Below are 23,025 nucleotides of genomic sequence, written 5' to 3' on the forward strand. Positions count from 1 at the left end.
TTCTGGATAGAGAGAATAAACCCAAGGATGGAAGGGTGGGCTAAAGAGGAAGTGCTCACAATTAAAAAGAGAAAGAATTAAAAGCAGCACCAATAGGGAAGGGTAATTATCCTTCAGTTGCTGCAGAAATACAATTAGGGCCATGCTCTCTGAGCCGCCAGGATATTGTGGCTTTTGCTAATTAAGGAGCGGATGTGTCCTGCCAGCGCAATTAGAGGCTGGCCCAGGCAGCAGGGGCTTTGCCTCTCCTCCACCAGTGCCACACTGCAAGGGAAATTAACCAGGGAGCCCAGCGCTGTGCCTGCAGGGAGGGGATGACTGGGCCAGGATTCCACCAGCCTCCTGTCCACAACCATTTCCCCTTTTCCTCTTCCTGCTCTGCTTACCCCAGCACCACCACTCTGACTTCATTCTGAAGCTTCCAGGGCTCAGTAACCACAGGAAGAATTTTCACCATGGGCCATGCCCATAGGCTTCCAGAAGGGGGAGGCACCAGTAGAGAGGGGTCACCATTTCCAAGCTCTAGTTTCTCTTCTGCATGGTGGTTCAATGCTTTATGATTAGTAAAGGAAAGAGAGAAATGAGCCACTTGCCTGCTTCTCTTTAAAAATAATTCCCCTGTTTGTAAAGGAAATATGCTCAAATTGGGTGCAGTGGCTCACGTCTATAATCCCAGCACTTTGAGAGGCTGAGGCAGGAGGATCACTTGAGCCCAGGAGTTCAAGACCAGCCTGGGCAATATACTGAGACCTTGTCTTTACTAAAAAAAAAAAAAAAAAAAAAAAAATTAGCTGTAGTCTCAGCTACTAGGGAGGCTGAGGTGGAAGAATCACTTGAACACTCGAGTCTGGAAGGTTGAAGCTGGAGTGAGCTGTGATTGCACCACTGCACTACAGCCTGGGTGACAGAGCAAGACCCTGTCTCACCAAAACAAAACAAAACAACTGTGTCCATTATAGAAAGTAGAACACTCCAGAAAAAAGGGAAAAGTAAGAAAAAATAATTTCTCCAGGGAATTCTGAGGTGAGGAGAGGTGTTCAAAGATGAACTTAGTAATAGGAGCGGAGACAACGCCTCGCCTGAAGGAGCATCCAGACCGCTGACCTGGTGGCGAGGGGAGGGGGGTGGTCCTCGAACGCCTTGCAGAACTGGCCTGGATACAGAGTGGACCGGCTGGCCCCATCTGGAAGACTAGTGATTTTGTTGTTGTCTTACTGCGCTCAACAACAAATCCCAGTCTACCTAATGGTGCCAGCCATCGCAGCGGGGTGCAGGAAATGGGGGCAGCCCCCCTTTTTGGCTATCCTTCCACGTGTTCTTTTTTGTATCTTTTGTGTTTCCTAGAAAACATCTCAGGTCACCACCCTAAACACCCATCGGCAGACTCTTCCAGAAACATGGACAAACTATGGTGTGAGCAGGGAAGTGGGGCAGGGTCTCTGTTTTCAGGGAGCAGTGGACTGCTTCCATACCACTACCTGAAGGGCAGGGGGAGAAAAACCCTCCTTAATTACTAATTCCCCCAACAATCACTTTGGGGCACCTATAATGGAGGCACCTTGTGACTCCACATCCTGGGGCTCAGGGCCTCATTGTCTGTGGCCCGACAGCCACAGTGTATGCGGGCACCGAGAGGTATGCACTGGAGACCGAGGTTCCCGGATGTTCAGTGTACCTGGCAGCAGGGGGGACACACCTGACCTCGGAGCTTGTCTGGTGCCTGCTCCACAGCTGAGGGAGTGGACTTGTGTGTATGGAATTTCTTGGTCCCAGTACCTGCCTCTGTGCTGCTACATCCAGAGGTGTGGCCAAGGGAAAAAAGCCCAGTGCTTGGGGACCATCCCCCACTGTGGCAGGAATACAATTAGAATTAGTGATCAGAAAAAGCATTTCCCAGCCTTTTATTTATTTATTTATTTATTTATTTATTTATTTATTTATTTATTTTTGAGACAGAGTCTCACTCTGTCCCAGGCTGGAGTGCAGTGGTACAGTCCTGACTCACTGCAACCTCCACCTCCTGGGTTCAAGTGATTCTTGTGCCTCAGCCTCCCGACTAGCTGGGATTACAGGTGAATGCCACCAACTCAGCTAATTTTTTGTATTTTTGGTAGAGAGAGGGGTTTGCTATGTTGGTCAGGCTGGTCTCGAACTCGTGACGTCAGGGGATCTGCCCACCTCGGTCTCCCAAAGTGCTGGGAGTATAGGCATCAGCCACCTTGCCTGGCCTCCCAGCCTTTCTGCCTGGGATCCCTCTGCCTGGGGGGTACCTTGCCCTAAGGTGAGCACCAAGTTACAGTGATGACACTTTCAGTGGAGATTAATTTTCAAGCAACAAATCCAAATGCCCTCCCTATTCCTAAGTATATTCCCACCCTCCTCCATCCATACAGCAGAGGAGACTAAAGCATATTACAAACTAAAGTTGGGGGTTGGGGATCGTACTCATTTAGGGAATGCTAAAAATGCAACCATTAGCTGAGCTCATTCTACCTCTTCCGGTTGCTAGCTGTGTGACCTCTGGCAAGGCACTTGACCTCTCTGAACCAAGTCAGCCCTTCACTTCTACCCAGAGACTTTGGCTGCCTCTGCTTCTGCTGCTCCCTATCCTACAAACTGGCTCTCTTCTTCTGCACTTCCAGTCTTAAATTTCCCTTTACTCCTAACCCTGCCTGAAGCCAGTGGGAAGCCAGTCCTATTAGAAATCTCATTTACACTTCAGAAGTCTGCAAATTGGTGTCACTCAGCAGGTATCTGTCCTTCACAGCGGGAGAGAAGCCCAGATTGGGCAGGAAGGGCAGAGCTGGAGAACAGGAGAGGAGGGGAGTTGAGTCTCTCCTGGGCAGCCCTCAGCCTCTGGGGCTGGTTTGGAGATGGAACGGGGAGAGATTGTGTCTCAGTGAAACAAGCATCTCGGGGGGGGATGTGGGGTGCATTCCTGATTTGAGGGATGGATATGACAGCCTTTGTTAAGTGGTGGGGGGAGTCCTGGCTCTGAAGTCAAACATGTGCCAGTTTCAATCTTGGCTCCACTGCTTACGAGCTGTGTGACTTTGAGTCAGTCACTTAACATCTCTGAGTCTCAGATTCCTCAACTGTGAAACAGAATTGATCACATCTACCTTGCTAGGTTATTACGATAAGTAGGCAAGTGAAGTGTCATAATATAAAATAGCATGGGTATATACCCAATATTGGTCTCTTCTGCCTTTTCTTTCATAGTTTTCATGGTTGTCCTCTTCACCAGCCTTGTGCACCCACAAATCTGCCATCCTGAAATAGGAAAAAATGGAAACCACCATCTTTCTATTAGTCTCCCCTATCATGTAGGAATTTAATCCTATTTAAATATGTATCCTTCCCCTTCCAGATCAGTATCTTGCCCATTTCAGGGGACTCAATATATATTGAAAGAATGAATATAGACCAAGTCCCTCCCCACTTTAAAAATGCTGAAATCAGGGCCTGCAGAGGTTGTGACTTATCTCTTGGTCACTCAGCAAAATAGACAATTTACTACTGTTTTTATTTATTTATTTATTTATTGAAATGGGGTCTGGCTTTGTCACCCAGTCTAGAGTGCAGTGGTGTGATCTCGGCTCAATGCAACCCCAACCTCCTGGGCTCAAGCAATTCTCCTCCCTCAGCCTCCCGATCAGATGAGACTACAGACACCCACCACCACACCCTGGCTAATTACAGTATTTTTTGTAGAGACGGAGTCTCCCTGTGTTGCTCAGGCTGGTCTTAAACTCCTGGGCTCAGGTGATCCTACCACCTTGGCTTCCCCAAATGCTGAAATTACAGCGTAAGTCACAGCGCCTGGCCCTAACTTACTACTTTTTAAGGTAACTTTATTGGAGTCTCAACACAAAAACCTCGGCGATACAAGGGTCACGGCATCTGGCCCGTCGCCTTAACTGCATCAACCGGGTTTACGAAACAGCCTGATTTCCAGCCCCACCCATCGCAACTGCAGCTGTCAGGTTTCCCGGCTCACGTTTCCCTGGATGAGCAGAGAGGCAGCGTCCTCTGCTGGAAGCTTTAGGTAACTCCACTTTAGCGGCAATTGTCAGTCTCAGCGACAAACTACTAACACCTGGGGAGATTTAAAAACCTTCCTGTTCAGGCCCCACCCCAGACCAGTTAAATCAGAATCTTGGGGTGGGGTGTGACCCAAGCGTCTGTGGTGCTTTTTTGTTGTTGTTGTTGTTGTTGTTTTGTTTTGTTTTGTGAGATGGAGTCTCGCTCTGTCGCCCAGGCTGGAGTGCAGTGGCGCGATCTCGGGTTCACGCCATTCTACCGCCTCAGCCTCCCGAACAGCTGGGACTACAGGCGCCCGCCACCACGCCCGGCCAAATTTTTTTGTATTTTTAGTAGAGAAAGGGTTTCACTGTGCTAGCCAGATGGTCTCGATCTGCTGACCTCGTGATCCGCCCACCTCGGCCTCCCAAAGTGCTGGGATTACAGGCGTGAGCCACCGCGCCCGGCCTCGTCTGTGTTTTTTCAAGTTCAGCATGTTGAGTCAAGGCTGGGGACCACTGAATGAAGGATTAATTTTATATGTGAGGGAACTCTAGTCTAGAATGGAGCAAGGAACGGCAGAGAATAAAACTCCCCTCGATCAAATCCCTCCAGTCTTCCATTAAAAAATTAGCCGTGTGACACTTAGCCTGGGCCTGAGAATCCCGGACATTCTCAGGAGTTGGGGGAGGGTACAAAGGTACCTTAATTGTCTTGGTGCCAGGCTGTGTCCTGGTAGGTCCAAAGTCCAGCTGCTGCTGGATCAAGAGAGCTAAGAGGCGGGGAGCTGCGTGCATAAAACAAGTACCTTATTCACATTTAGCACTGGGAATGTCGTCAGCTTCATACTCTCCAACACAATGGATCCTAAACTTCGGCATGCCTCAGGATTAGCTATTTCATCAGCTTGTTAAAATGCTGGGCCCCACCCCCTAATTTTCTTAATCCTACCCCTTGACTTTCTGGGCCTCATCCCCTGACTTTCTGGGCCCCACAGCCTGATTTTCTGATTCAGTAGGTCCAACAAACTCCCAGGTAAATGCCCATGCTGCTGGGCTAGGACGACACGTGGAGAACAATTGCTCTAAAAATTGAGCAGATCAACACTCTCTTTCAAGTCTGCACCTGGCCCAGCACCATGGGGATCCCCACAGTACCCCCAAAAAGTCCTCAGAATGAGTACACAGGGCAGGCAGAATGGCACTCTGACTGTAGCATAATGATTTGTAAATGCAAAACAGGTCAAGTCCTGTCTCAAGTGTTTTCAGATTGAAAATGCGGAGGGGGAAATGATGGGGTCCTTGAAGTCAGAGCTTGGATCATGGGTTTTTCCCCACCAGGCCCCAGCCTAAACAAGCTCTGTTATAAAGGAGCCCTCGTCTTTGTGGAAGGAGGCGTTTTTTGTTTTTTTTTCTTCAAGATGGAGCCTTGCTCTGTCATCCAGGCTGAAGTGCAGTGGCGCCATCTCGGCTCACTGCAACCTCTGCCTCCCGGGTTCAAATGATTCTCCTTCCTCAGCCTTCTGAGTAGCTAGGATTACAGGCAAGTGTCACCATGCCCGTCTAATTTTTGTATTTTTAGTAGAGATGGAGTTTCACCGTGTTGGTCAGGGTGGTCTTCAACTTCTGAACTTGTGATCCACCAGCCTCTGCTTCCCAAAGTGTTGGGATTACAGGCGTGAGCCACCGCACCTGGCCTAGGAGGGAATATTTTTATTCAATCCAGGGGCAGCCTCTGGGTAGAAGGGAAGGGCTGACTTGGTTCAGCAAGGTCAAGAGCCTTGCCAAAAGTCACACAGCTAGCAGAAGTTGGAGGGTGAGTTTAGTGGTTTCCCTAAGAAAGAAGGGGTATGGGTATTACCATCCACAGTCAAGATGACAGTGTGAGACCACCCTTACTGAATACCTGGGACATCAAGTTTTTTTACTTAGCAATTTTTTTATGATAAATGTAAGTATAGATGGTCCCTGACCTACAATGGCTCAATTTAACATTTTTCAACTTTACAATAGTGCAAAAGCAATACACATTTAGTAGAAACCTTACTTCAAGTGTCCATACATTCTGTTTTTTATTTTCAGTACAGTCGTGAATAAATTATGTGACATGTTCAGTACTTTATTATAACATTTGTGTTAGATGATTTTGCCCAACTGTAGGCCAATGTAAATGTTGTAAGTACATCTAAGGTATGTCAGGCTAAGCTATAGACGTTTGGTAGGTTAGATGTATTAAGTGCATTTTCAACTTGTGAATTATAGTGGGTTTATCCGGACATGGCCTCATTGTTAAGTCACAGAGCATCTGTTAATATGGACATCTTAAAAAGACGTCATTAAATGAACGCAATGGAGTCTAAATATCATAATGATTTGATACAAATATTATTCATTTTCATTTATTTATTTTTTGTAGAGGTGGGGTCTCACTATGTTGCCCAGGCTGGAGGGTAACACAATCATAGTGCACTGTGGTCTCAAACTCCTGCCCTTCTCAAGTGATCCTCCCACCTCAGCCTCCAAAGTAGCTGGGACTACAGGCATGTGCCACCTTGCCTAGCTTCTTTATTTATTTATTGAGACAGAGTCTTGCACTGTTGCCCAGGCTGGAGGGCAGTGGTGCAATCTTGGCTCGCTGCAACCTCTATCTCCGGGGTGCAGGAGATTCTCATGCCTCAGCCTCCTGAGTAGCTGGGATTATAGGTGCCCACGACCATACCTAGGTAATTTTTGTGTTTTAGTAGAGACAGGATTTCACCATGTTGGCCAGGCTGGTCTCAAACTTGAGACCTCAGGTGATTCACCCGCCTTGGCCTCCCAAAGTGTTGGAATTACAGGCGTGAGCCACAGCGCCCGGCCTTCATTTTTAAAGTACATGAAAAAACTATTTATGACAATGTTGAGTTTTACCTAAGCACTGTGCTCCTAGAGAACAGCAATGATTAACCCCTTACCCCCTAACCCCACCTCAACCCCGTCTCTCGGGTTCTGGAAATGGCTCACTGCAATGACTGAGATAAAACTCATGGATTCCCCTCTATGGCGATTCCCCACTATACCCTGTTACTAGACCGGATACAGATAGCCCCAATTCCCATTTGCCTCATAAGTGACTAGCTGAAATGCTTGGCCCATTGATCAGCTGGAAAAAAATGCTCATTAATGAAACTTTGGTTAAGCTTTTGTCCTTCCCCAAGGCCTCTGAATTTTGGCCCACCCTCAGCCTAAACCAGCATGAAATCCCTCTGTAACAGCCCCCTTGAGAACAGGCTGGCCTCAGGATAAAGCAATCTCTGATCTACTGCCCCACCCTGTCACTCTCGTTCATCCCACTTACCTACACCAGGTTCTTTCTAGACTGGTTTACTCCTTCCTATAAAAGAAAATCCCTTTTTGCCTACCCCTTGAGAGTTTGTAGATTTATGGCCTGAGTGTTCTCCCTGTTTACAGAGTCTTACCACCCTCACCCCACCCCAAAATCATCCTTTTAAATAAAATCTCTCTTTATCAAATCTGGGTCTGTTTTTTTATTTGACATAATATGCAACATTCTTTTTTTCTTCTTCAGCTTCTGCTACGGAGTTTTATCCAAGCATAATATATTTTCATGCTTGGTAATATTTTATGAAGCACCCTATTGTACATTTCTGTCACACAATTATGCAGATAAATTTGAACTTGTTAACTCTAAAAAATTTTCTGTGACCATGAGGTTCTAAGGGTTAATTTTTTTTCCTTCTAGATTGAAATGTTGTTGTAATTATTAGTAGTACATATGATTAAAATACATGCATAGCATTTCATTATATGAGAGAATCTTTAAACATACAAGTTAATTAATCTTCATTAAAATGTCATGGAAAATATATCTTTGAAGGAGATGGATTGAGCCAGTTATTTTTCCATAAATTTGTGAGTCCAGAGATGAGTATCACTTTTTGTAAGAATGAGACAGAGGTGAGTCTGTTGTTTTGATTTTATAGTTGTAAGCCTGATAAACATTGTTTACATTAAAACCATAGAGAAATGGGAAGGGTTTTAGTCTGGCAATTCTCCCACTTCTTTTAAATTCCTGATAATTATCTATACTCATGTATTTATTTATTTATTCATTTATTTGTTTACTGGAGACAGGGTCTGTCTGGCTCTGTCACCCAGGCTGGAGTGCAGTGGCTCAATCATAGCTCACTGTAACCTCTAACTCCTGGACTCAAGGGATCCTCCCACTTCAGCCTCCCCAGTAGTTGGGACTGTAGGCACACACCTCCACATTTATTTATTTTTGTGAAGACAGGATCTTGCTATGTTGCCCATGCTGGTCTCAAACTCCTGGCCTCAAGCAGTCCTCCAGCCTTGGTCTCAAGAAAATGTTTTTAATGACCTAACAACATGATTAGATCCTCCTTGGATCTTGGTGAAAGCAAAGAATGAGAAACCACCTGACTTGTAGAAGGATTTCTTGCCCCGTCCTCAACAATAATTAATACATTATTTAGAATTGCCCTATTGTTTCTCCTGGAGACTTTTATTTCCCAAGGTAATGCAGCAGAGCAAGATTTAGAACAGGTGCAGTGTGAATTGCCTTTGAAAAGTGGGAGACAGCTGGTTACACATGAGGAGAGGGAAGCTGAACCCCAAAGACCCCAGGCATATTCTGAGGCCCAGCACCATGGAAGCAGAGGATCTGGATATTGACTCTCTTAAAACTCTCCTTGGTTGGGTGTGGTGGCTCACGCCTGTAATCCCAGCACTTTGAGAGGCCAAGGTGGGTGGATCACGAGGTCGGGAGTTCGAGACCAGCCTGACCAACATGGTGAAACCCCATCTCTACTAAAAATACAAAAATTAGCTGGGCATGGTGGCACGTGCCTGTAATCCCAGCTGTTCCTGAGGCTGAGGCAGGAAAATTACTTGAACCCGGGAGGCACATGTTGCAGTGAGCCGAGATTGTGCCACTGCATTCCAGCCTGGGTGACAGAGTGAGACTCCATCTCAAAAACAAAAACAAACAAAACAAAAAAAACTCTCCTTGCCCCAGATTTACCTCCCACAGTCCCCATGCCTGAAGACCGCTGTCCTATAACCCCTTCCCCTCTGCTCTCTGATCAACGCTGCCTCCTAAGTAGCATTTGAATCTGTCATTTCAAATGCTACTTAGGTGGGGAGCTCTTTATCCTCCACACCACTCTGGACATCATGATCTTCCAAATTTCCACAAACACTCCCCCACTCCTTTCTCCAGTCCTCATCCATTCCTCTCTATGCTGCAGCCAGAACAAGTTTTTTCAAATGCAGATTCACTGGTAAACTATCTATGGCTTAAATCCCTCTGCCTCCCCAAAGCCTTCAGGGGCCTGGGTAAAAGGATTGATCTCTCTTGTGACCTCATCCCTTGTCCTGCTTCCCTCAAATTTGTACTCCCATCAGAAAGAGCTCCTAGCTTATTTCTCATCACAGGTACGTTTCCAAATCACTTCTGCTTGCAAAATGTGAACTAAGAGAAGTCAGACTGCTTAGGTAAGGATCTTTGGATTCTAGGTGTTTCTCCTTAATTTAAGTGTCAATTTCCTTAACTGTAAAACTGAAATAATAGTAAGGTCATTGTACAAATTAACTGAGTATTTTGCCTGGCACATCATTCGTGCTCACATAATACGTGTGAACTGTTTATTATTGTTCTTGTTATTACTCATGTTACACTGAATTTTCTTTCTTTCTTTCTTTCTTTTTTTTTGAGACGGAGTTTTGCTCTTGGTGCCCAGGCTGGATGGAGTGCAATGGCGCGATCTCGGCTCACTGCAACCTCCGCCTTCTGGGCTCAAGCGATTCTCCTGCCTCAGCCTCCCGAGTAGCTGGGATTACAGGCTCCCGTCAACGCCCGGCTAATTTTTGTATTTTTGGAGAGATGGGGTTTCATGTTGGTCAGGCTGGTCTCAAACTCCTGACTTCAGGTGATCACCTGCCTCGGCCTCCCAAAGTGCTGGGATTACAGTCGTGAGCCACCGCGCCCCGGCCTCATGTTGCACTGAATTTTCTGTTAACCTTGCTGTTTCCCTGCTGTTAGATAAACAACTCAGGATGCTTATGTGTTTATTGTGTGCATCCCACTGCCAAGCCCACGTAGGAACTTAATACTTAGGAGTCAAGTGTTGCAAAAGAATAAATGAAAAAGCAGCGCTGACGGAGGAAACCTGACTTTCAAAGTCTCTCTTTAGTGCCTACTGTGTATATTATTTCCTTGAATCCCAGAACACCCGAGGAGGTAAGGGCCGATGTTCCCAATCTGCAGATGTGGGTGTACTCAGTAAGTCATTCGGCCTTTGGTGGTACCAGGCTTACAGGAGCCCACATCCCGACCCAGGTAGAGGAGTGGATTGGAGCCGGGGAACACTGATGGGACCGGGCAGGGACGACAGGAGGTCAGTCTCCCTTCCCTTCTCTTTAAAATTTCCCGCCAGTATGGCCGGCTCGCAGCACGAGTTACGCCCTCTTCAGGAGTCCCTCCCCTTCTGCTCTCGCCCGCCTCCCCGCTGCCAGGCAGGCTCGACCAATCAGAAGAGGTCTTGGGCGGGCGCTGCCGTCCAGCGAGCCAATAGGCGGGCAGTCGGAGCCGGGCTTGCCCGGGCATGTGGGAGCTGCCGGCTTTCCGGACGCCACGTGCAGACCGGAAGAGACACGCGGGGCTTCAGGTGAGATCCAGGACCCTGCACCGGGGCGGCGGGGTCGGGCGGGCTGAGGCCGCGTGTCCCGGGTCGCAGGTCCCCGCGCGTTGTTTCCGCCCCGGCCTGCGGCGGGGACGCCTGAACTGGGCTGACCCTGCCCTACCGGCCCGCAGAAAAGCAGGCCGGGCGCCGCCTGTCTCCAGCCCTCGCTCTGCTCGGGGGTCCAGGGCCAGAGGGGGCGGCGCTGGTCGTTGGGACTCGGCCCAGCTGCCGCGGCCAGCAAGTGACCAACGCCCGAGTCCTTCCCGGTGAGATCAGGCCTCCCACGCGTCACGCCTGGGAGAACGCCAGCCGGCGGGGAGGTCGTGCCAGGATAGCAGACTTTAGTTGTTGTCGTTGTTCCGTGGACTTTTTAGCAGCACAGGGGACCTTATCGAGCCAGGTTTTTTCAGGTTTGGGCGATTATCAGAATTGTGGCTTGAGGGTAGGGGTCGTCCGCGCTCTTTTTAAAAATCTAGATTCTCAGGCCCCTTTCCCCAAAATAGCAATTAGGACGGTGTGGGAGTGGGCCTGAAAATCAGCCTTTCATCAGATGTCATATGGTAATTAACTACATTTGGGAAGCCCTTATCTAATTCACAGCCCTCGGTTGATGGTGAAGAGACGTGACTTGCCCCAGATCATCTAGCTACTTAGTGCCAGAGGAGGGTCTAGAACTGCCCTCTGCCCTCTTGATCAGCCAGCAGGTTGGTGGCTCTCATGCCACCGAGGATTCTGACTTCTTGGTTCCTTTGGGGCCTTTGCTCCATTGACTCTGCAGCTGGGACCCTTTCTTTAGGCCAGACCCCCTCCCTGCCTGAAGGCCGGGTGTCTGACCCCCAGAGCGCTGGGTCCAGGCTAGAGAAAGGCTTGTGTTTGTCCTTGTTGAAAGGGTTGTTTTATCTGAGCGGAACTTCTCTCCAGCTTCACTGAGCTACATTTGGGTCCCCAAAGAGGTGTGTCCTTGATGACTGTTGGTTTTGACGTGTCAGCATGTAGCAGGAGGAGCCGCGGACAAAACCCCACAGAGGTAGTGAAGGAATTGGCTTTTAATCAGCTGGAAGCATCGGCAGACTAGCATCTCAAAATCCGAGCTTGTTGAGTGCACAGTTTCTGTCCCTTTTAAGGACTCACAACACTAAAGATTTTACAAGAAAGGGCCATGATTGATTGAGCAATCTAGGGGGTATGTGACAGGGACTGCATGCACCGGTAGTCAGAGTGAAACAGAACAGAACAGAACAAGAGATTTCACAGTGTCCTTCTATACAATGTCTGAAATCTATGGATAACATCGGTTGCTAGGTCATGGGTTTAATTTTAACTATCAGGCTAAGGTCAGGCAGGCCCAGGCCTGGTTTTGGGTCTGGTTTTGGGTCTGGTGCGTGGCGCCGGGCTGCCTGCCTTTGGTTTTGCTTCCTTGTTTCTTCTTAAAACAGGTACTGAGTATAAAATAATACAGAACAATATGAGGGGGAGGTCTCTTTCTCTCTTCTCTTAAGCAAGGTCAGGGTGTTTGGAAAAGGACTACTTTCCTCTCTTGAAATAGGAGGCTACAGAGACCTTTTCTCAGATAACTTAATTTCTGGCTTCTTTAAAACCTTGCCAGTAGGATCAGGAAAGCCACCCACCCTACTCCTAGCCTCAGCCCCTCACAGAGAAAGGAGGGGACTATCCGCCAGCCCCCTTTCCCAAATTAGTTATTAGCAGGGTGGGCATTGGGCTTCTTAGGCTTTTTTCTCCCATTGCTGGGCTGAGGCAGATTAAGGTTCTGAATTTGTCAGTTCTAAGATGTGACTGTCAATATGAGGAAGTTGGTTACAGTTAAGACCTTTTTAAAAGAGAGACCTTTTCTCCTGGAAAGGATGGGATGAGCAAGCAGGGTGGATGAGTCAGGATGGGTCAGGTCTGGATGAGTCAAGTCAGGATGCGGTGCCCTGCCCTAGAGTGTGGGGATTCTTTATGCAAATGCTGGCATCATCAAACCTGGCATTTCACCTCACCTCCCATCCCCTTCCCATTTCTCTTAATCTCTGCTGCTACTGCTCAGGTTTTCATCTTCTCCAGACCTCTTTCTACACCCTTCTGAAGAGGACCTGCCACATGCTAGCTTCTAGGCTGGCTGTTGGGGAAGGTACAATCAAGGCTCTAACCTGCCTTCTTACAGCTCTGAGGTAGACTGTGTGTACCAATGGACTTTGAAGGGTGTAATAATTCTCAAATTGTGCTATAAGAGCTCAGCACAGAGGGATGAATTTCTTTGCTCCCCAGCTAGACTTAGTGTCCTGAGTCAGGGCTACTGTGGGATATTTCAGTGACCTCCATAGGTGCCTCTGGGGCTCCCCCACTCACTTGGCCAGTAGAGACCAATTCAGGGGACACCAGATTGCGGTAGGGGTGGCTTGTGGAAGGGCCACCAGAGTAGGAAACAGAAGATGAAATGGTGCAAAGGAGAGAGGAGCGAGGAGCAGTGCCTCCAGCATGACCCGCCTTATGCTCTACACCCCAGTGACTTGAGGCTGCTGGTGGGCCCTCTTCCTCCACCCTGGGTTAGTCCTTTTTAAGGCCTTTGCCCCTAACATGGCCACTGATTCTTCTCCCTTCTACCTGGAAGGTTACTGTTGTACATGCACACAGATGTAGCCTCTTCCAGGAAGCCTCCAGAGAATTGTCCTCCAGCCTGTTTTGCCTCCCTAGCACCTCTGCTTCAGCCCTTAACACACTTTATGCTTGGTTTCTGTCTCCACCATGAAACTAAACTTCTTGGAGTCCAGGATCCACCTGTGCAGCCGCCCAGCATCTGGCACAGTGGAGACCCGAGAGAGCCTCAGTATGGCATTGGCCTGTGCAACCCAGTGGGACAGAGTTTCTTCCAGAAGGGCTTCTGGGTGGTGGCGGAACAGTAGCTGAGTCTGAAAGAGCAGGAGGGCTGTGAGTGGGAAGGGAGGCTGTGGCTTGGGAAAGGGCAGTGAGTCCAGGCGGAGGCTGCTCTGGCCTGAGAAGAGCTGGCTGCCAACCACGGGCTAGAGTCTAACCTCTCTGGGAGAAGGAGCAGTGGTTATTGAGCCCCTACTGTTCAGAATACAGGAAGACCCCAGCATACATTGTGTCGTTTCCTCTTCACACAGTAGAGGGGGTGGTAGGATCATTTTACATGCCTGAAAACTGAAACTTAGCAGTTTAGGTCATTTACAAAGAGCTGAGTTAGGCCGAATATGGTGGCCCACGCCTGTAATCCCAGCACTTTCGGAGGCCAAGGCAGGTGGATCACCTGAGGTCAGGAGTTTGAGACCAGCCTGTCCAACATGGCAAAACGCCACCTCTATTAAAAATACAAAAATTAGCCAGGCGTGGTGGTGCATGCCTGTAATCCAGCTACACAGGAGGCTGAGGCAGGAGAATCGCTTGAAGCCGGGAGGCGGAGGTTGCAGTGAGCCGAGATCACGGCACTGCACTCTAGCCTGGGTAACGAGAACGAAACTCCGCCTCAAAAAATGCCAAGTTAAACCCTGCTCTGCCTGACTTCAAAGCCCTAGTTTGTTTGATCTGTTAAAAATGTACTGACTGACTTGGCATAACAAATGAGACAGGCTTTCCAAGTTATGGCCTCAGCTGTTGGGAAGATGCTGGGTTTTGCAAACTCACATGAACATCAGACATTTCCTGTAGCAGCAATGAACGACAGCACCTCTTATCCTAGCATTCAGTGACGAGGGCTTAAAGTCCGCTGGGTGGGAGCCCATCACAGAAATCTGCAAGCACTTCAGATCAGGACTTTTAAATGTTTCTAGATGCTGTGGCGATTAATGAATTACAACGTCAGGTAAAGAAATTACACTTAAAGGCTGGACACGGTGGCTCATACTTATAATCCCAGTACTTTGGGAGGCCGAAGTGGGCGGATCACTTGAGCCCAGTTTAAGACCAGCAGGGCAACATGATGAAACCCCATCTCTACTAAAAATACAAAAAAAGTAGCCAGGTGTGGTTGTGTGTACCTGTAGTCCCAGCTACCCAGGAGGCTGAGGTGGGAGGATCACTTGAGCCCTGCAGTGAGCTGTGATCACGCCACTGCACTTCAGCCTGGGTGACAGAGCAAGAACTTATCTCAAAATAAATAAATTAATTAAATAAATAAATTACAGTTGGTTATCATATTACAAAAAAATACAACTATTCAGTTACTGCGGGCTTCCTATGAAATTCTTTCTCCAGGTTGTGCTGAGGATCTGTGCCTTCATATTTCAAAAAAGTATTTCTTAAAAAAGGCTATACAGTTTCTATAACCTTTATTTTCCTATAACCATACCTCTGTCAAAGTCTGATGCTTCTTAGCTAAAAATCACAGCAGAAAAAAAGTCCACTGCTAACAATATTGGACTCAGCCATGGTTTGAGGTTGAGGGTGTGGATTCTGGGTTCCTACCAGCCTTTGGCTTTTACTAATGGGGCAAGTTTCTTCACCTCTGTGCCTCAGTTTCTTACCTGTAAAATGAAGATGATAATACTTTGTTCAGGTCATTGAGCAGACTGAGTGATTCCATGTAGTATTTACAACAGTGATTCACCTGTGTTTACAGTATGAATGCTTTTATTAGTGAAATGGGTCCTCAACTCAATCTGGGAGCCACGAGCTACGGTGCAGGGCTCTCGGGCATCCCCACCGTGGTGCACTGCAGGGAGGGAGGGAGGGTGGGTGGGCTGCCTGGCACACTCTCACCCAGCCCCTCTGCCTGTGTGTTCTCTCTTCAGGCTGCTGCCCCATTGGAAGATTACTCCCCAGGCTTCCCTTGCCCCAAGCAGTGAGCTGACTGGAATGGTACCCCGGGAGGCCCCTGAGTCTGCTCAGTGCCTGTGCCCTTCCCTCACCATCCCAAATGCCAAGGATGTGCTTCGGAAGAGGCACAAGAGAAGGAGCCGACAGCACCAGCGGTTCATGGCCCGGAAGGCCTTGCTGCAGGAGCAGGGGCTGCTGAGCATGCCTCCAGAACCAGGGTCCTCCCCACTGCCCACCCCTTTCGGGGCAGCGACAGCAACTGAAGCTGCCAGCAGTGGGAAGCAGTGTCTGAGGGCTGGATCTGGCAGTGCCCCATGCAGCAGAAGGCCTGCTCCCGGGAAAGCCTCAGGGCCCTTGCCCAGCAAGTGTGTGGCTATCGACTGTGAGATGGTGGGCACGGGACCCCGAGGGCGGGTAAGCGAGCTGGCCCGCTGTTCCATTGTGAGCTACCATGGCAATGTCCTCTATGACAAGTACATCAGGCCTGAGATGCCCATCGCTGACTACCGTACCCGCTGGAGTGGCATCACTCGGCAGCACATGCGCAAGGCTGTCCCCTTCCAGGTGGCCCAGAAAGAGGTAAGGGCAGGGATGGGGACTTGTTTGGGAGGTGTGGTGGGCTGGAAAGAGCCACCCTGGGTTTGAATCACCACTTTGCTTCACTGGGGGCAAGAAACCTTGGGAAAGTCACCTAACTGCTCCAAACAGTAGGTTCCTTCTCCATAGAACAGGGGAAATAAAAATAAAATCCTGACCTTGCCTCCAGATAAGGATTGCTGGCCTGTTGCACAGGACAATGTAGAAAGGCTACACCAACTGTAAGGTGATAAATAGCTTACATTTTAGAGTTTGCTTTCTGTTATAAAAGTTGTACGCATTGATATAAAATTTGTAAAGCCCACAGTGGCATCACGTTCAGGTATGGATGTTTTGGCATATTTCCTTATGTTAGTTTCTTAGTGCTTAGAAAAAATTAATTAGTGGTTGGGACCACACTGATGCACCAGGAATTCCCAAACATGCTTGACCTTAGAAACACCTAAGTCCTTTTTAACAATCTAGGATCCTTGTCCCCAGTTCCCTCCATAGAGTTCCTGATCCATTAGGCTTGGGGAGGGCTCTGACCCATGTTCCAAAAAATCATCACACTGTGTAGACTTGCACCATAAAGCCACAGGGCTTAAGGGGAAATGGAGAAAGGGAACAGTATTAAAAAGGCCATCAGTGACACCCCAAAAATAAGATAGAAACCTAATAAAAAGGTAGTCCAGTTTTACGCATCTTGTTTCTTTTTTTTTTTTTTTTTATTCCACACATCTTAAATGGTTAAGAAATGCACAATACACCAATAAGTATGGCACTTTACCTTGAAAAAGACCTGAACTTGCTTGTGGAAAGAGGAGTCAGAAAGGTTGCAGCTTGAGTTTCTGTGAAGTGGTTGAAGGAGAGTTCTTTGAAGTCAGACAGGAAGTGTGACACCAGCTGTGGATGGGTGTGGCTCATCACACAGGTGAACTAGGGTTGCTGGGAGATGTTTGGGCTGTGTGCATATTGTGTATGCCCTCTTGGCTTAGTTCAGTTGGATGCAGTTTTCTGCGTTCATTCAGTGTTTCTCAAGGATGAAATTATGCACAAGCAAAGGTGAAATTTGCATTGTTCTCAAAATGTGTCATACATCAATTGCATTGAGACAAATCTGCATTTTCTAAACAAGCCTTGTAACAGAACCACTTTTTAACACTTCTGGGTTATTCTTGGGATTAGGCAAGGTTGGGAAATACTGGTGTACACTATCTCGTGTCCTACTTTTTCACATAACATTGTGGCCCGAGCATTCCTTTGAAATGATCGGAGGTTATTTTATGTATCAAGCAGGCCAATCAGTAAGAGTAGCAACAAGAGGGGAGGTGTGTGGTGAACCCTCCAGCTCCTTGGTCCCTTCCATTGACCTGGTTGGTGGTGGTCCCAAGAGCAGGACCACTTTTTGTCTGCCCAGACTCCGAGCCACTGTGGGTTGTGCTTCATCTCTTTCCACTTCATGGCTGACTTGGGGGGAGGGGCAGTGTGGTGAGTGACCAGCATGGTGGCATGTCCCTACTATAAAGTCTCAATGCATCTTATCCATCTGCCATGAAAGCTGGGTTTGGGGATAAACATATGTTGCCAGCAGAGGTAGGCTGTGGAGGCCCGCAGCTGGTGATAAGGAGAGCCCAAGCCCAGCTAAGAGGGCTAGAGGGGGTTGCTGGCCCATGGCCCTGGGCGTGGCCTCCCTGGTGTATGAGGAGGGCCACCCAGCAGGGAAGGGAGGTACACATTGTGCAGGCAGCCAGAGCTGAGCAAGAGAGCAGGTTAAGAGGATGAGGAGGAGTTGGTACACAGCAGGGCAAGGGGGCAGAGTCCTGAAGACAGGGATTATGGCCCTTAATGCTCATAAGAGCTGCTGCTATGGTGTGTCTACCAGTGACAGGCACGGTTCTGTTGACTTCACCCAGCTGGTCTTTATTGATCACCTCCTGTGATAAGTAAATAATCAATAAATGTAATGCTTTCTACTACAGGAAAAAGATAGGCATTAAAAAAAAAGAATAAATGTGACGCTTTCCTTGGAGCATCACTAAGAAGTCCAACATGGTCCCTGCACTCACAGACCTTACAGTGCGGTGGGGGAGAGTTGGGTGGAGTGGGAGGCCTGGTGACGTCTTCCAGGCTGAGAGGAGAGCCAACACCAGCAATAGAGTTGCTTGTATCTGGTAACAGGAAGACTTCCATCCATGACCTCGTTTAGTCCTTAGAGCCACCCCACGGAATGCTGCTGGCAGTGTTTCCCTTTGACAGGTGCAGAAGACATAGGTATGCCCCTGGGTATAGACAGTAGAAGGGTCTGGGTTCAGACTTGGGGCAGCATGGTTGACTGTGGAGCTCGTGATCTCCCCACTCGGTGCTGCCTCCCCCCACAGGGATCCATGCATCTATTGGCCAGGGGTTCTCAGGGCGTGTCTCCTGCCAACCTGATGGGGTGTGGGGTGACCTCCCTGACTCCTCTTTCTGCTCACAGATCCTTAAGCTCCTGAAGGGCAAGGTGGTGGTGGGGCACGCGCTGCACAACGACTTCCAGGCGCTCAAGTATGTCCACCCTCGGAGCCAGACCCGGGATACGACCTATGTCCCAAACTTCCTCAGCGAGCCCGGCCTCCACACCCGGGCCCGGGTCTCTCTAAAGGACCTGGCCCTGCAGCTGCTGCACAAGAAGATCCAGGTGCGTGGTGGGAGAGTGGCTGGAAGGGAGGGAGGCCCGCCTGGCCTCCATGCCACCTGAGCCACAGACAAGGCTTTGGGCTGTGTCTCCAGCCTCCTTGTCATTCTCTTCCCTAGTCCAGGTCCAGGGACCTTGCTTAAATGGGTCTCCCTCCTGTACACGCAGCTCCAGGTGTTTCTCTCCATGATCCTTCTTCCCCAGTGTGTACTGCGATTCTCCCAGAACACATTCTCCTAGGCCGATCTCTTCCAGATCTGTCCCCTCCCTAACTCTTGGTTCTTGCATCCCTGAAGCATGGTCTCCCATCCCCTACTAGCAGACATAGAGCCTTAGATCAGGAGGAGCCAGTACCTCTTGCTCCTGTTGGGCTTCACATTTATTATTCATCTGATCTGCAAGCCTTTGAAGCAAGAGATTTTTAGCATGCCTTATATTTGAGGAAAACAGGCTTGGAGAAGCTGCATGGCTTATGGTGTACAGTTGAGGTTCCATCCCTTTTCTGTGAACCTCCATTCTGAGCATACGTATTCTTGGGCCTGCACAAAGAGCCCTGGGAAACTGGCCTTGCTTCTTGGGGTAACAGGCCTCTCACTAGGCCTGCAGGCAGTGATGTGTTGGCTCTCGTCAGTAGGTGGGCCAGCACGGGCACTCATCAGTAGAAGATGCCACGACAGCCATGGAGCTCTACCGGCTGGTGGAGGTGCAGTGGGAACAGCAGGAGGCCCGCAGCCTCTGGACCTGCCCCGAGGACAGAGAACCTGACAGCAGCACAGACATGGAACAGTACATGGAGGACCAGTACTGGCCCGATGACCTGGCCCACGGCAGCAGAGGAGGAGCCAGGGAGGCACAGGACAGAAGGAATTGAGAAGGGGGCGGGGCTCCCTGGCTGGGCTTCCGGTGTGGCCGGTAGGAAGTGGGGGCCAGGAGAGCAGCGGGCACTCCTTCCTGGGCAGGGTGGGGCAGGATGCAGTGAGCCAGCCCCAGGGCCAGAGGAGTAGGGGTCATCTGTTACCTTGACACCCTCTGCACACAGCATAGCCCTCTCTCTCTCCAGGGCTGTTGGTTCTTTCTTCTGACTCCTGTGGTTTTGCTAATGGCACTTTACAGACTCCATGGAGATGTCAGGTGGACCATCTTCTAGGGCCCAGCAGGAGTAGGGAATGTGCCAACAGACTGCCCAGGTTGCCGTGGCCTTCCCCACCCCCCAGATCTCCTGAGTCATCATGCTGTGCTAATGAAAGGGATCATATCATCCTCTCTGGGGATGGTGGGTGGGGGTGTCAATATCCTGGAGCTCCCTTACCCCAACTCAATGACTTGGGGGTAAAGTTCTCTTCCTTTTGTTGCCTACCTCTTCCTCCACTCATTTGGGTTCAGAATAAACATGTCCTGAAGTTAAAGAGGAGTTAAGTCCTAAAGGAGGCATTTCTTCCCCACCTCCCTGACCTGGAACTCTGGCTACAGCCATTGTAGGAACTCCGTGCCTGGCCTGTCAGCTCCCTGCTAGGCTACAGTGGAATAGCAGAGCCCACAGGCTTCTCGTGGGGAGTTGGCTCCTTAACATTTCTTGGCAACAGAAAGCCCCAGGCACAGCTCAGGGAGGAGGGAAGGCAGGTAAGCTTTGGACGAGAACTGGCATATTTATTTTGACCCAAATCAGGGATTTCCCCAGTCCACCCAGTACTGGGCTCTTAAGCAAAAGTCTGAGAAACAAGACAGTGGTTTGAATTCTGGGGCCTTTGTGTAGGATTGTGCCTGACCTTTATTTATTTATTAACAGCAGGGCCACTCGTCTAGGGCAGTGGAGTCTGCGTGTCTCCTGGGGCTGGGGCAGGGCATTGGCAGTTACGCAGTGGCCCTGAACCTGGTCTGGTGCCCCCGAACCTGGTCTGATGCCCCCTCAGCTCTTTGACAATCACTGTGGCTGTTGGGTTTTCTCCTATTTCTAAAAATGTTCTCTTCTTTCCTAAGTGACAGTTTTGAAGTATTGGATAACCAAGAGCTCAGGTCACACAGACCTTGGAGCCCCATCTTTGCTTGCAGCTTAGCTTTGAGATACTAAGCAAGCGAGGGACTTCACTCTTGAGGCTGTTTTTTCCTCATCTGTAAAGTGGGGATAGTGGTACGGCCTACCTCATAGGGTTGTAATGAGCACTAAATGTGAAGTGCTTGGCACAGTGCCTGGCACATGGTGAGCCACAGCTACTGTGAGTTTCTGTTTATCCCCCTTTTTTTTTTTTAAGCCCATTGTTTATTCTTTGAGAATTTGTTGTAACTTCTTCAGGATAACACCTGAGTCCACAGGCTGAGCAGCTGTGGCCCAGACAGAACTGCTCCGGCTTGGCTGTTCCAGCAGGTGGGGCGCTGGCCTCGGTGAGGGCACAGCAGCAAGGTTCACGGATATCCGTGTGTCTTGTCTGTGGCCACCAGGCACAGGTTTGGCTTCCGGTCAGTGTCCCGACACTGTGCGGGAGGTGACAACAGAGCAAAGCAGCGCAGGGGTCAGGGAGGTACAGACACTGCTGAAATCACACTACCCCACCCTCAGCTGAAGCCCCACGTTCCACAAACTTGGGGTCATAGATTGTCCAGTCACTGGCTCCCTCCCTGTCAGCACAGCACAGAGGAAGGGGCTAACTGAATCTTTTACCACTTCTGGCCTGGCTCCAGAACTTTGTTCTAGATTCCTTAAAAGTCGGTAGCTGATGTCAAACTCAATTGAGCAGTAGCTTTGATCCCTTGGTCTGGGGGTCGAAGGAAGATGGTGCTGTTATCAGCGGGGAAATGTACTATTTAAGATCAGCTTTGTTGTAAAACCATTTGTTCTAGAATAAAACTCAATTGGAAACGTGGGTGAAGTGGCCCTTCCTGTGAATTCTCAAGCTGGGATTGGAGGGTGGCTCATTGGGGGTTTGGGAGGGGGACTGGGGCACTAAGCCTTGCTGGGTGCTTTGGACTTCGAGAAGGCAGTTTTCAAGAGGATGCAGTGGGCTCCAGCAAGAAACTAGCAGAGCTACAGAATTTAGATAATTTATTTCTTATTGCCCTATTACAGAGCACAAGTTTTGTGTTTTGTTTTTTGTTTGAGACAGGGTCTTACTCCTGTTGCCTGGGCTAGAGTGCAGGGTGCAATCATGGCTCACTGCAGCCTCGACTTCCCAGGCTCAGGAGATCCTCCCACGTTGGCCTCCCAAGTAGCTGGGATGACAGGCATGCGCCACCCCGCCCAGCTAATTTTTTTGGTATTTTTAGTAGAGACGGGGTTTCACCATGTTAGCCAGGCTGGTCTCAAACTCCTGGACTCAAGGAATCCACTCACCTCGGTCTCCCAAAGTGCTGGGATTACAAACAGGAGCCATCGCACCTGGCCATATTTGTTTTAACTTTTTTGTTTCTCCCTGAAGCTATGTACTCACTTAAAAAAAGTTTTTAATTGTAGTAGAATACACATAGAAAATTTACTATGTTAACTACTTTTAGTGTACAGTTCAATAGTGTTATGTCTGTATCCACATTGCTGTGCAACAGATCTCGAACTCTTTCATCTTGTGAAACTGACACTTTCCATTTCCCCCTTTTTTCTTTTATTCCTTTTTTTTCTTGAGACAGAGTTTCACTCTTGTTGCCCAGGCTGGAGTGCAATGGCGTGATCTTGGCTTACCACAACCTCCACTTGCCGAGTTCAAGCAATTCTCCTGCCTCAGCCTCTCGAGTAGCTGGGATTACAGGCATGCGCCACCACGGCCGGCTAATTTTGTATTTTTAGTAGAGACAGGGTTTCTCCATGTTGGTCAGGCTGGTCTCGAACTCCCGACCTCAGGTGATCCCCCTGCCTCAGCCTCCCAAAGTGCTGGGATTACAAGTGTGAGCCACCGCGCCCAGCAATTTCCCCCTTTTTTCAACCCCTGGCAACTACCATTCTACTTTCTACTTCTATGAATTTGACTAGATAGCTGATACAGGTGGAATCATACAGTATTTGTCACTTTGTGACGAGCTTATTTCACTTAGCACAGTGTCGTCATCCATGTTGTGGCATGTGTCAGAATTTTATTTTTTAAGAGACTCTTGCCCAGGCTGGACTCAAACTCCTGGGCTCAAGTTATCCTCTTGTCTCGGCCTCCTAAGTAGCTGGGACTACAGGCATGTGCCCCCATGCCTGGCAACTATTTTTTTTATTTTTTTTTTTAGAGACGGGGTCTCATTATGTTGCCCGGGCTGGTCTTGAATTCCTGGCCTCAAGTGATCCTCCTGCTTTGGCCTCCCA

At 49.0% G+C, this 23,025-nt stretch overlaps 1 protein-coding gene and 2 non-coding genes across 9 annotated transcripts in view, besides 8 other annotated features; 2 read left to right on the plus strand and 1 right to left on the minus strand.

Annotated features, from left to right (window-relative positions):
- AEN (apoptosis enhancing nuclease) overlaps nucleotides 1–21,610 on the plus strand; it is a 27,599-nt gene extending 5,989 nt beyond the window's left edge. For 3 of the 7 annotated variants that reach the window (XM_047432947.1, XM_017022489.2, XM_047432946.1), the window contains 3 exons: nucleotides 15,475–16,078; nucleotides 18,555–18,755; nucleotides 19,387–21,610. In XM_047432947.1, the coding sequence (XP_047288903.1) occupies nucleotides 15,539–16,078; nucleotides 18,555–18,755; nucleotides 19,387–19,623 (978 nt within the window). In that variant the 5' untranslated portion in view covers nucleotides 15,475–15,538 and the 3' untranslated portion in view covers nucleotides 19,624–21,610. Of the gene's footprint in view, nucleotides 1–10,668; nucleotides 10,993–15,474; nucleotides 16,079–18,554; nucleotides 18,756–19,383 lie in introns of those variants that run through there. The other 4 variants (XM_047432945.1, XM_005254966.2, XM_006720645.4 and 1 more) reach the window with 4 other exon arrangements.
- MIR7-2 (microRNA 7-2) lies at nucleotides 1,154–1,263 on the plus strand. Its single transcript, NR_029606.1, has one exon. It is a non-coding gene; the product is annotated as a microRNA 7-2 (primary transcript).
- Nucleotides 1,176–1,253, minus strand: MIR3529 (microRNA 3529). The gene has a single exon (NR_039867.1). It is a non-coding gene; the product is annotated as a microRNA 3529 (primary transcript).
- Nucleotides 2,363–3,047: an enhancer, noted in NCBI's record as "OCT4-NANOG hESC enhancer chr15:89156265-89156949 (GRCh37/hg19 assembly coordinates)". NCBI's record gives its function as "activates a minimal SCP1, AML or CMV promoter by ChIP-STARR-seq in naive H9 embryonic stem cells {active_cell/tissue: H9 hESC(naive)}" and the evidence as "EXISTENCE:reporter gene assay evidence [ECO:0000049][PMID:30033119]".
- Nucleotides 9,877–10,550: an enhancer, noted in NCBI's record as "NANOG-H3K27ac-H3K4me1 hESC enhancer chr15:89163779-89164452 (GRCh37/hg19 assembly coordinates)". NCBI's record gives its function as "activates a minimal SCP1, AML or CMV promoter by ChIP-STARR-seq in primed H9 embryonic stem cells {active_cell/tissue: H9 hESC(primed)}" and the evidence as "EXISTENCE:reporter gene assay evidence [ECO:0000049][PMID:30033119]".
- Nucleotides 10,551–11,224: an enhancer, noted in NCBI's record as "NANOG-H3K27ac-H3K4me1 hESC enhancer chr15:89164453-89165126 (GRCh37/hg19 assembly coordinates)". NCBI's record gives its function as "activates a minimal SCP1, AML or CMV promoter by ChIP-STARR-seq in primed H9 embryonic stem cells {active_cell/tissue: H9 hESC(primed)}" and the evidence as "EXISTENCE:reporter gene assay evidence [ECO:0000049][PMID:30033119]".
- Nucleotides 10,554–10,713: an enhancer, noted in NCBI's record as "active region_10028". NCBI's record gives its function as "activates an Ori minimal core promoter by ATAC-STARR-seq in GM12878 lymphoblastoid cells {active_cell/tissue: GM12878}" and the evidence as "EXISTENCE:reporter gene assay evidence [ECO:0000049][PMID:35858748]".
- Nucleotides 10,734–10,923: a silencer, noted in NCBI's record as "silent region_6790". NCBI's record gives its function as "represses an Ori minimal core promoter by ATAC-STARR-seq in GM12878 lymphoblastoid cells {active_cell/tissue: GM12878}" and the evidence as "EXISTENCE:reporter gene assay evidence [ECO:0000049][PMID:35858748]".
- Nucleotides 12,200–13,399: an enhancer, noted in NCBI's record as "CDK7 strongly-dependent group 2 enhancer chr15:89166102-89167301 (GRCh37/hg19 assembly coordinates)". NCBI's record gives its function as "activates an origin of replication core promoter dependent on BRD2, BRD4, P300/CBP, MED14 and CDK7 cofactors, with strong dependence on CDK7, by STARR-seq in HCT116 cells {active_cell/tissue: HCT116}" and the evidence as "EXISTENCE:reporter gene assay evidence [ECO:0000049][PMID:35650434]".
- Nucleotides 15,869–16,412: an enhancer, noted in NCBI's record as "H3K4me1 hESC enhancer chr15:89169771-89170314 (GRCh37/hg19 assembly coordinates)". NCBI's record gives its function as "activates a minimal SCP1, AML or CMV promoter by ChIP-STARR-seq in primed H9 embryonic stem cells {active_cell/tissue: H9 hESC(primed)}" and the evidence as "EXISTENCE:reporter gene assay evidence [ECO:0000049][PMID:30033119]".
- Nucleotides 16,806–16,865: an enhancer, noted in NCBI's record as "active region_10029". NCBI's record gives its function as "activates an Ori minimal core promoter by ATAC-STARR-seq in GM12878 lymphoblastoid cells {active_cell/tissue: GM12878}" and the evidence as "EXISTENCE:reporter gene assay evidence [ECO:0000049][PMID:35858748]".
- Nucleotides 21,611–23,025: the final 1,415 nt, after the last annotated feature.

The sequence above is a fragment of the Homo sapiens genome, chromosome 15 (genome assembly GCF_000001405.40).
Source record: "Homo sapiens chromosome 15, GRCh38.p14 Primary Assembly".
Lineage (NCBI taxonomy): Eukaryota > Metazoa > Chordata > Mammalia > Primates > Hominidae > Homo > Homo sapiens.